The sequence below is a fragment of the Homo sapiens genome, chromosome 12 (assembly GCF_000001405.40).
Source record: "Homo sapiens chromosome 12, GRCh38.p14 Primary Assembly".
Lineage (NCBI taxonomy): Eukaryota > Metazoa > Chordata > Mammalia > Primates > Hominidae > Homo > Homo sapiens.
In genome coordinates, this window is record NC_000012.12 from 79,522,978 (window position 1) to 79,535,163 (window position 12,186).

Consider the following 12,186-nt stretch of genomic DNA (forward strand, 5'->3'; position numbering starts at 1 on the left):
TGTGCAACCTGATTCCAGCACTGAGCAAAGGAAATTATTTTGCACCCTGCACACAGGGTGCACCAGTACAGAAATGAAAAAGTCTCACCAGCTGGCAATAACACATGCCCTCTCACTGTCTTTGGAAGACAGTCTTCAGTTCTTAGAGAAGAGCAATCACATAGTATGGCGATTTACATATGCTACCTGAGATTTCCCCCATTCCAAAGGCTTTAACTACCTTAACATCAGAACCCAACGTCAGAAGGTCAGGTTCCTAAACTTAGGTATGTTCTTACATCCATTTCCTCACCCTTTCCCACCTTCTCTCCATCCTGTTGAACTTGATGTTACAGGTAGAATCCATTTATAAACAACTCAGGTACATTTATTCTACATTCAGTAAACATCTGTAAGTTGCTGGTATGCACCAGGCACAATGGTAATAAGTAAATCCAAATCATTGGAGGAAAGTAGAATTCTGATTCTGAAGAATTATACATCACACTAATACAAGCATTCATTATTGATTTTCAATTTTTAGGGTCTATCTATACACAAAACTTCAACTCGATAAAAACACACAGGGCAGCATGTGAATGTTAACAAACGTGACAATGTAAAAACACAGATGACAGAGTCTGGGAAGTGGAAGGCAGGAATCATTGTTCATGGGAAGGGTTGGGGAATCAAGAAATAATTTCTAGGGTCAATGGAAGAATTAAAAAAGGAATAAATAAATTAAACCTATGGAGTTAATTATAGCAGACATTATTTGTGCCTGTCCTATTGCTACCCCCCCTTCTTCCTCCCTTCCTACTGCTTTTTTTGTTGTTGTTATTGTTAGCAGAGGCCAGTTTTTACTCATGTCTCCACATTATTCTTTGCGATCGGGTCATGAGCTCAGAAGGATTGAGGTAAATCATGATTATTGTAGATTATGGTAATGGCACACCCCTTGTCAGTCATGAATAGTGGGTATATGGCTGGTTTTAGTCGGAGACATGAGGAGGAATCTGCGCTGGGCTTCCAGGAGTGCTAGAAAGGAAGAAACAGCCTCTCATATTCTTTTAGACATTATCTGAATTAATTAATCTTATAGCTGACTTATCTTGGGATGTGTTATTGCGAGAAAATACATTTTCCTTACTGCTTAAATATTGAAATTGATTTTCAATTACTAGCAGTGAATGTACCTTTACATAAGATAAACCACTGAGGAATTAAAAATGATGATTTAACTATACTGGAAGGAAGGAGAAAAGATGGGGGAGGAAATACAAGTGAAGAAAACTTCCACATAAATAGTAGAAAGTCAGTAGATAATAGACATATAACTGATTTTTTTTTAAAGGAAATGAAGTAGTGGTATAATACTATTTAGAGAGATGGAAGTAGTCATCAAAATAAACAGGAGTTAAAAATGGGACCAGAATTGAGGAGGGGAGTGGTGGGTAAACGTTGCTTTCCATTATTAAGTCCTTTTGCACTATTTTATTTTTAAACTATGTGCATGTATTATTTTGATAAAAGTTTTAAAATTGACATAAAAAAGAAAATGAATTTAAAATCACAAATTAATTTCCTTTTCTGGAGGCACTAGAAAGAAAGAAAATAGGAATTTTTCTCTGAGACAAATCAGCAAGTTAATAGAAGTGCTTTTAACCTAGGAAGAGTTCCAAGGGCTCCAGTGCTTTTCCTTGTGCTATTAGCGCAGTAGCGTTCTCTTTGTGCAGATGTGGATTAGGCTTTTGGCAGTGAAAGTGTTTGAAACAGGAAGAGATAAAGGAGCTTGGAAGGCAAATAAAGATAAAAATCCCCTAGCTACAGTCTAATCCGTTTTTCTCTCCCCATCCAAATAATGCAAATGACACAGATTCTCAGATTCCATTTTGTGTTTGTCTGCCTGTTTGTTTTAGAGACAGGGGTCTCACTATGTTGCCCAGTCTGGAGGGCAGTGGCTATTCACAGGTGCAGTCCCACTACTAATCAACATGGCAGTTTTGACCTGCTCCATTTCTGACCTGGGCTGGCTCACCCCTCCTCAAGCAACCTGGTGGTCCCGAATTGGGAGGTCACTACATTGTGGCCAAACATAGTGTGGACACTCTATCAGCATAGCACACTACAGCCCAAAACGGCTGGACCCAAGCGATCCTCCCACCTCAGCCTCCTGAATAGTTGTGATGATAGGTGTGCACCACAGCATCCAGCTCCATTTTGTTATGAATTAGATAACTCAGCATGCTGGATTTCTCCCACCAATTTTCTCCAAACTAATTTCACTCTTAAAATTACAACAGAAAATTGTCTTGGTTATCTTGACAGTCTCCTCAGGGATATGAACACAGATCACCCTTCAAAGTGGATCTCCCACACCTGTTTGACGTTGTTAACTAAAAGGTACTAATGCCCTAACTTGAGCAACCAGCAGTGCTTTAAATCAGCCAGACATTCCTCTTCAATAAATCCCAAAGCCTCCAAAGCTACAATTGTGTTCTCAGGAGAACAGAGTTACTAAAACAAGTTCTAGGAAGAGGACAATCCTATAACTTCCAAAGTCCAAGAGAAATAAACATTTAACTTCCAACTTTATTCACTTAGTGATGTCCCATTGAACCCACTGGTCAATAGGCCATTTGCTTTAAGTTGTTTTTCAGTAATGCAAGCCATACATATTGGTTTAAAGTCAGTTAAAATAAATCCTAACCTGAATCTACTGAAGTCTTCTTTAACTTATTACAATATTAAATATGTCTTTATCTAGCCATGCATATTTCTATGAATATATCCTTCAGAAAAACATACAATATTGTACATTGCAGCATCTTTTCTTGAGGCAAAACTTAAAACGGAAACTGGAAACAATCTGAAAGTCAAATAGCAGGAGACTAATTGAATATATAATGATGTAATCACCTTATGGAATATCATGCAGCTATAAAATCAAAAACAAACTAGATAGAATTCCATGAATTGACAGAGAAAGGCGTTCATGATATGTTGTTACATATATAAAAAGCAAGTTGCAGAAATATGTGCCCAATTTCATTCTATTTTTCTAAGAAAAGGTATGCATTCTTTTTTCATATAACTGAGGGAAGGTATGAGAGGGTATATAACAAACTATTAATGATGATCATCTCAGTGCATGGAATTAGAGCACAGTCGAGTTTTACTTTATATACTAGTGAATATTTTGAATTACCATATCAACCATGCATTATTTTGCATCAAGGGAAAAAATAAAATTCGTCTGTTGGGAATGTGAGAAAGTTATCAATCCTTCTTTCCAGGACACTCCTAATATCACAATTTAATAAAAATATATCCAGTTTTTTCAATATCTTCAGTAGATAAAGATTTTACAAACTTCTGTAATTTTGTCATAATACTAGTTTTGTTTATCAAAAGGCTCAGATGTATAATATAGTAGGTAATTCACATACAGTTACTTATCTACTCCTCTACTAACAGCACAGGCTCTGTTATGTCCATTTTACAGATAAGAAAACAAAATAACTTAAACAAGATCACATAATTCTAGAAAGTAGCCTAGCCAAGATAATAGACTGGAAAGCAGACCTAAGTGGAAAGCTAATGTTCTTCCTAACACTATACTAGAGCTATTAGGCACATACATCTAAGTTAAATCAATCACTTCATTTCAAATTCATTTGTAAATGAAAATAGCATACTATGGGGATCTAAAAAACCTACCTTTTAGAGTTGTTTAAAAAGGATCAAAGTGTTTAAAAAGGATCAAAAGAGTTTTCCCAGTCTTCAACAAATCCCTCTTCTTCTACTCATCACACTCGCCTCCTAAAGAAAACTGTCCTTCATGAGCCACCATGTCTTCTGGTACTCAAAGTCATACTCTTCCTTCCTTATATTCTCCTTCAATCTGTTTTTCTTTTTTTGAGACGAAGTCTTGCTCTGTCACCCAGGGTGGAGTGTAGTGGGGCCATCTCGGCTTACTGCAACCTCTGCCTCCCGGGTTCAAGGGATTCTCCTGCCTCAGCCTCCCGCATAGCTGGAATTACAGGCATGTGCCACCACACCCAGCCAGTTTTTATATTTTTAGTAGACACAGGGTTTTGCCATGTTGGCCAGGATGGTCCTGACCCTCCCAAAGTGCTGGGATTATAGGTGTGAGCCACTGCGTCCGGCCTACCTTCAATCTGTTTTTCAAAAATTACCTGAGTGAAGTCTCTCCAAATTCTCTAGGTTTCTCTAGACTTGATACCTGATCAGGGATCTTCAATATTGAAGATTACCTCACGACTTCTAAAAGCTAAGATTGTATTCATGTATCAGAATATCCTGCAGGTGTGGTGTTATGTTTTGTACATTAACAAAATAAAAAATATTGCAGACTCATAATCATTTAACTCTAATATCTTTTTCAGCTCTACTTGCATATGATTTGTCATTCCTGGCCTTGAATTTGTAATATTTGTTAGCAACTCTATCGGGCAGACAGTGGCCAACAATTTTTACAGGGAAATGCTCATTACAGCAAAAGATGAAAACTCAGTAGGGTTTAGAAAATGCAAAGCATAGTAAATAAGAAATGGGAAAATGCACTAGACATCAGAGAGGAGGTAGCTCTGTCCCCTATTGTGTATCCTGAGACATAACTGAATTTATTACTGATGCTGTATTCCCACACAGTTTCAGTGACCAGAAGTGCTTTTCATCCCATCTCTGGCTGGTCCAAAGATCATACTCTCCAGGGACCTAGTACTTCATAATAATGATTCATTATTTATTCTAGCCCCAGGACATTTCAAATGAGTGTTTCAAACCACTGCTGGTTATTATATTGGATTTAACTCTACTGATGCATTTATTGACACCACAGGATCCACCGAAATGCAGCAGTCTCCACAGCTCTTTGAAAGCTGCATCTTTATTTGATTTTCTTTCTCAAATCCTGAAACCTAGCACAAGAATCTTTCTATGATAATTAATCAAAGTAAACGTATTTGGCGAATTAATTAATAAATGAACATTTAAACAAACTAGCAGAGTAAAATCTAATGACTTTAAAGTTTTAAAGAATTAATTATTTTTCTTAATGAGCATAGCAAACATTTTCCAAGCCCATGCCAAAATAGCCATGAAGGTAGGAGTGGCATCTGGTGTTACCTGGCATACTGAAGAACTCAATTAATAGTTGCTGAGAAAATGAATGACAAGCTAGATTATCAAAACAAGTTATCTTATTATTTTTTCTTGATATTATACAAGTGCTATGGAGTAGAAACTGGAAACATGTCTGCTCCTTTTTTATCTACCTTTAACCTTTCTGCCTGGGATCACTGCTACCTGAGTCACAGTGTCTATATATCCTACAAATAGAAAGAGACATAGGTCATCAGAGAGAAAATTCAGAAGGGTGCTTCCAAGTCATTTCCAGAAAACCAGCCTTCAGGATCAACAGAAGAAAAGGAAACAAAATAACACCCCCCCACCCCATCCCATATCTCCCTAGAGCATAGATGCTGCTAATTGGAAAGGGTGCTTTAAACCCTGAAGAGAAACCTCATCTGGAGTCTACTACAAGTAAATCTTCACAGCTGCATTTGCTTGAGCCCATAAGAAAGGATGTAGAGGAATGAAAAGAAGAGGCTGTTAGTGTAAATGGTAAACCACATACAGTCATGTGCCACATAACATTTTGATCAATGACAGATCATATTAATGATGGCGGTCCCATAGGATTATAATACCGTATTTTTACCACACCATTTTATGTTTGGACACACAAATACTTACTGTTATGTTACATTTGCCTACAGGATTGGGTACAGTCACATGCTATACAGGTTTGTAGCTGAGGAACAAAAGGCCATGCCATAGAGCCTAGGTGGCCAACATGGCAAAACCCTATCTCTACTAGAAATACAAAAATTAGCCGGGTGCGGTGGTGGGCACCTGTAATCCCAGCTACTCGGGAGGCTGAGGCAGGAGAATAGCTTGAACCCGGGAGGCAGAGGTTGCAGTGAGCCAAGATCGCGCCATTGCACTTCAGCCTGGGCAACAGCGCAAGACTCTTTCTCAAAAAAAAAAAAAAAAAAAAAGAAAAGAAAAGAAAAGAAAAGAAATCACAGATATCTGGTACTGATGTATCACCCAGGCCACAAATTGCAGACTACTGGGTATCGGAAAACAAACTGTCATCTGAAAACGTCTCCTGAATAGATACCACTAGTTAAAAAGGTATTAATGCAGCTTTCTAATTACAGTAATGAAGTAGTTTACAGCAGAATGACTAATTCCTTTGCACAAATATGAAGGGAACTCTAGAGAATTACTTTACTATAAAATCCCCCTTTCTCCCCAATGCCACCAGCAGCCTTAATAATAGTACCACCATCTACTCATTGCTCAGATTAGAAACCTAGTAGTCATCCTGAGTTCTTCTCTTTCACATCCAATTCATTTATAAGTCTTGAGAGCCCTGGCTACAACAAACGTCTCTAAACTGACCATTTCTCACCTTCGTTGTTACCACCCTATTTTAAAGCAATTAACAGGTCTCCTTGACATCACATGTGCCATCACATTGGCAAGGCAACCCATTTGGCCATTTTCTTCACAGCAGACAAATTAATTTTTTCTAATTACATCAGACCTCATCCCTTTCCTGCATAAAACACTCAATGACTCTTCATTGCAACATGAATAAACTCCAAACTCCTTACCATGGCCAAAAACGCCTTCAGTGACCCAGCCTCTGCCTTCCTCTTTAGCCTCATCTCCCTGAGCATTCTCCCTTGTTCACCCATCCCAATCTACTGGTCTTGTTTCTATCAGACATGCTGAGCTCAATCTCTTTACCCTCAAAATTGTCAAATGGTTGCCTTTTCCCCAACATTCAGACTTTAATTCAGATATCATTCTTCTGAGAGATCTTTTTTTTTTTTTTTTTTGAGATGGAGTTTTGCTCTGTCGCCCAGGCTGGAGTGCAGTAGCACGATCTCGGTTCACTGCAACCTCCACCTCCCAGGTTCAAGCCATTCTCTGCATCAGCCTCCCGAGTAGCTGGGATTACAGGCGCCCACCATCACGCCCAGCTAATTTTTTGTATTTTTAGTAGAGACGGGGTTTCACCATCTTGGCCAGGCTGATCTTGAACTCCTGACCTCATGATCCATGTGCCTCGGCCTCCCAAAGTGCTGGGATTACAGGTGTGAGCCACCGCGCCTGGCCTCTTCTGAGAGATCTTCCTTAACCAATTTAGTCAATCTGTAATGCATCACTTTATCTTATCTTCTCATGGCTGCACTTTTATCATTTGTCTCCTCCCACTAAAGTGGAAGCTATGTACAGACAAGGAGTCATCTGTGTTGTTCTTTTCTCTGTCCTCATGAACACAACAGTTCCTAGCACAAAGTATGCATTAGTAAATATTTGCCAACTAACCTAGTACCACCATAAAAGGATATTCTTCTCCAAATAACAAAGCTTCGTGTTCAGAATTAGCACACCTGGAAGCTCCATTTTGAAAAACAAACAGCTTATCTCTTTGAAAGGAATATTTCAGACCACTGTGTGATACGATTTGCATCCCTAAGCAAAGAAATGACTTGTCATGGGCAGACACTATAAGTAGTTCATTTTTCATTCTCACTGGATTAAGATGTAAAAGTCTGATTTCAACATCCTGAGACCTTCAAACTAAACTTGATGAATTATTTCCCTTCTCTGGTCAATGGATAAACAGAAACTTCTTGTCAATTCTCACTATAATTTACTGAATCTTAATCTTTGGAAATCTGTTTGCTCCATCTTAGTGCAGTTACAGCTCCACTGTGTGGAAAAACAAGGGAGACAGGCAATAGAATATAGGTATGTTACCTAAGTGACCAGTGAGAAAATTTGGGAAAGTGTGTATAAGAGATTATAATCTGTAAAAACATATGCACAAAATATCAGAATGATAAAGAGTATTTTATTCTTATCTAGATTGGATATGGTATTTCTAAAAATTAATTATGAATCAGGGGCCAATAAATATTTGATTATTTACATGCTGTCTTTCCCATCTTCCCGCCTCTTATTTCCATAGCACGCTTGAAGCTGTTCAGCAATTTTCGCTTTTAACTATTGCATCTCTGTCAGTAAACACTCTGACATGTATAAAAATCACAAATACAAAACACAAAATTCATTCTAGTCAGATCCAGAAATGAGACAATTTAAAGCAAATAATTCCCTATGTGTAGATACATAGAGATGCAGCTATGGAAACTAGCAGAGGCAGCACTCTCTTTTCTGAAAAGAAATGTTTTCCATTGACTTGCATCCCTTGACCTTTGCCTAGGAAAAAAGATCCTTCATAAAACTGTCAATCATTACGAGTGACACTAAATCAAGACCTAATCAATGTCCAACTGGCTCAGTTTCCAGGAGATCAGGTGCAGAGATAAGTTAATAATCTCTTCCCAAAAGGCTCAGAAATATTTTTAACATTTCTTAGGATTTCATACATTGCAATTTTGGGTCTTCAAGGCACCAAAGCATAGTCTGATTTCTAGTAACACAGCAACACTCAAACAAAGAGCTACGCAGCTTCTACTGGTTTACCGCTGAAGACTTTAAAACCATTTCAGACCCAGTTTCAACAAATGACTGATGGAAATAGTAGAATTCTTTCCTTCCCTAGCTTCAGTGGGTAGAATGAGCTCCACTATGTACTACTGGGTCTTTCATTGGACTAACCCATTAGAAGGCTTCAGCTGTTGGTGAAATTAGAAACTAGGCAAAGTTTATCTTTGGTGACTCAAGCAAGATAAACCCTCATCTCCACTCTCCCCCATGCTCCTGTTGCTCAAGTTCTTTTCCTATCAAAACATCCTCTGTGCAAGAAATCAGAACTCCCTAGCATTAAAATAAATGTTCGCTAGAAGCTTCAAGGATGACCTTTCTCAAGGAGCTAAGGAAACGAACAGGAATCAGAGCTCTGAATTATAGTATGTTTTCCAGAAAAAGAGAACAGGTAGGGAGATGATAGGGGAGTTTTACCTGAACCTGTAAAATGGTACCACACAGCAGCTGTCTGCTTTGTCTACACTGTGGTTGTCAATTCAGTTAAAAACTTCAAAACCAGACTCTTCTCTCAAGTCGTTCATAATTCAGACAAGTAAACAATTAATTTTCATTTATGAAATAATTGCAAGGATATTTAAAGGACAGAATTAGTACAAAAAAAGGTTAAGTTTTACAGAGGAGGCAATAATTGAGCTTGGTTTCCAAGAATGAATAAGAATTTGTCAGTGGTTGTGGTTAAAGGACATTTTAAGCAATGGGATCAAAATGAGCAAGCTAAGGTGAACTGAAAAGCATTATATTAGTAGCATGGACTCTAATTCACCTCTCTTCCCCCTCCAGAAGATTCTGACCTTAAGTATTACGAACTCTGCTTACAACTATCAGTGTTCAGTTTTAGGACATAAATATGTATTGAGAATATTATTGATGGATATTCACTGTGTGGAATACAATGATGAGTAAGGTACAGCCCAACCTCAAAGCAGTTTACAATATAATGGGTTTAGACAGAAATGTATGCAAATAACATAAGATCAGTCAAAATGAAATTCATCAAATCCCCCAATCGGACCATAGTTCCCCGTATGGCTGACAGCAGCTGCTTAGACCAGACTTTTTTTTTTTTTTTTTTTGAGATGGAGTCTGGCTCTGTTGCCCAGGCTGGAGTGCAGTGGCACGATCTCGGCTCACTGCCAGCTCCGCCTCCCGGGTTCACACCATTCTCCTGCCTCAGGCTCCCGAGTAGCTGGGACTACAGGCAACCACCACCATGCCCAGCTAATTTTCTGTATTTTTAGTAGAGACGGCGTTTCACCTTATTAGCCAGGATGGTCTCGATCTCCTGACCTCGTGATCCGCCCGCCTCGGCCTCCCAAAGTGCTGGGATTACAGGCGTGAGCCACCGCGCCCGACCATAGACCAGCCTTTACTCAGCTAACAGTATGCAGGCCTGTTAGAGTAAGGAGAGCTCTGCTCCAAGTGTTGACAAATATCCCTCCCCCTGTGGCTAAATCAGCCTGCCCGGTCATCCGTGACGAAAGTTTGAGCTCACCAGGAAGCCTTGACTCCTTTGGCCAGATATCCAGCTGATTGTTTTGGACAATTATGAATTGGGTAAATATTTTCTTAAGGCTGAAATGTTAACAGTTTGGGTAAATGCTCTCCAAAGCTTCAGGTAGGGAGTCAACCACACTTTTCCTTTAGAAAGTCTCATCCTCTCACTTTTAACCTTTTAAAGCAGTATGGGCAAGATTGGAATTCACTGCTGCTTTTCTTTTTTCCTTTTTTATTTTCTTGAGTGCAGAAGCATGGAGGACCCGTGTTAAGAGGTCCTTCTCTCTCAAGAAAACATCTGAAGTCCAAACACCTGCCTTGAGATTCCCACTTACGGAATGATATGAGCCTCTCATGTAAAATGAATGCAGTAACAAAAGATGAAAGCAATCTTAGTAAACACTGAGATTTCATTATATGAAAAAAATGTGAATGGGGTATTCTGTAGTTTAGAATCACAGGAGCATAGACTCAAAAAGACCTCAGAGGCCATTTCATCTGATTTCTCATTTTATGATTTAGGGAATTCATTTTCATTCATTCACTTATTCAAAACTCAAAATGATTCATCCTAGGCCAGCATTCATCTTACTGACTCTCAAAGTATAATCCCAGCAGCATTAACATCACCTGGGCCTTCCTAAAAGTAAAAATTCTTTTTCATTTTATTTACTCATTTATTTATGAGACAGAGTCTCACTTTTTTGTGCAGTCTGGTTTCAAACTCCTGGCTTCAAGTGATCTTCCCACCTCAGCCTCGCAAAGTGTTGGGATTACAGGCGTAAGCCACTGTGCCCAACCAAAAAAAAAAAAAAATTCTTGAGTCCCATCCCAGATCTACTGCATTGGAAGCTGCGGTAGTAGGGCCCAGCATCTGTATTTTAACAAATCCTCCAATTTATTATAGTGCATGTAGAAGTTTGAGAATTACTTCCCTATACCCTATAAGTGAAATGTATTAGTCAGGGATATATAGTTTAACTGGTTTAAGCAAAAAAGGGAATCTGTGCTCTGTACAACTATTAAGTTCAGGGAATAATACTTTCTCCAGAATATCTGTGAAAAACACCACATTTTTGCAATGACTCCCAATTTCCTTCCCCATCAACTACATACTCCTCTGTTACAGTTGTACATAATCTTGCTCCCAAGTTGCCTAACTTGATTTTCCACTGCTCTTCAACAGGCATCTCAGTTAGACTTTGTAGTCTCCTCTCCATGCCTTGACCATGCCATGTCCATTTCCCTCATTCCCATTTCATCCATGAAGTTCCCCTCGACCGTAACACTTTGCATTCCCTCCACCTATCAAAAATCCTGCCCAGACATTAAGATTTAAGCTTACATTCCACCACTTACATAAAAAATCCTTTGTCTGCTCCAACCCTTTCTTATAACTGTCTTATGAACTCCCACAACATTTAAGTCTCTGACTCACACAATGTAGCTGTTAATTACATTTCTGTCTTAGGGACTGTTTCGTTGTAAAAGAACCCATCTGTGTTAGCTTAAATAAGTGTAGATAGTGGTAAGGATTCGGATGGATTTCCCATAATCCAATTGCAGGATAATGAGCTAAACCTCAACAGGTTTGAAAGTCTTAAGTATTAGATAAGAGCACTTACTCCTCATGTTGCAATATGAATAGACATATACTGGCCTCTCTCCTTAACCCTCAATCAATCTTAATCAATTATCTGACTGGTGAGTTTGAAGGAAGAAACTACACATGCTTTGTGCAGCCCTTTCCTTTCTTCTCCTTGGGAATCTTCTGAATGGGGCGTTCAAGGGCAGGTCCCCACAGCAGGGAAAAACCAGGATGGGACGGTGGGCAGCACTGCAGTTTTCCAAGTCTGCCTTTGATTAGGTAGATAAGTTTATTTCTGCAGTGAAGTTGGTAAGCCCCTTGATACTGCAAGATTAAAGTTGTCCTCCTGGTTGGGTGTGGTGGCTCATGCCTGTAATCCCAGCACTTTGTGAGGCCAAGGCAGGCGGATCACAAGGTCAAGAGATAGACCATGCTGGCCAACATGGTGAAACCTCATCTCTCCTAAAAATACAAAAATTAGCTGGCCGTGGTGGCATGTGCCTGTA

The 12,186-nt window shown here is 39.0% G+C and overlaps 1 annotated feature.

Annotated features, from left to right (window-relative positions):
* Positions 9,862-10,362: an enhancer, noted in NCBI's record as "H3K4me1 hESC enhancer chr12:79926619-79927119 (GRCh37/hg19 assembly coordinates)". NCBI's record gives its function as "activates a minimal SCP1, AML or CMV promoter by ChIP-STARR-seq in primed H9 embryonic stem cells {active_cell/tissue: H9 hESC(primed)}" and the evidence as "EXISTENCE:reporter gene assay evidence [ECO:0000049][PMID:30033119]".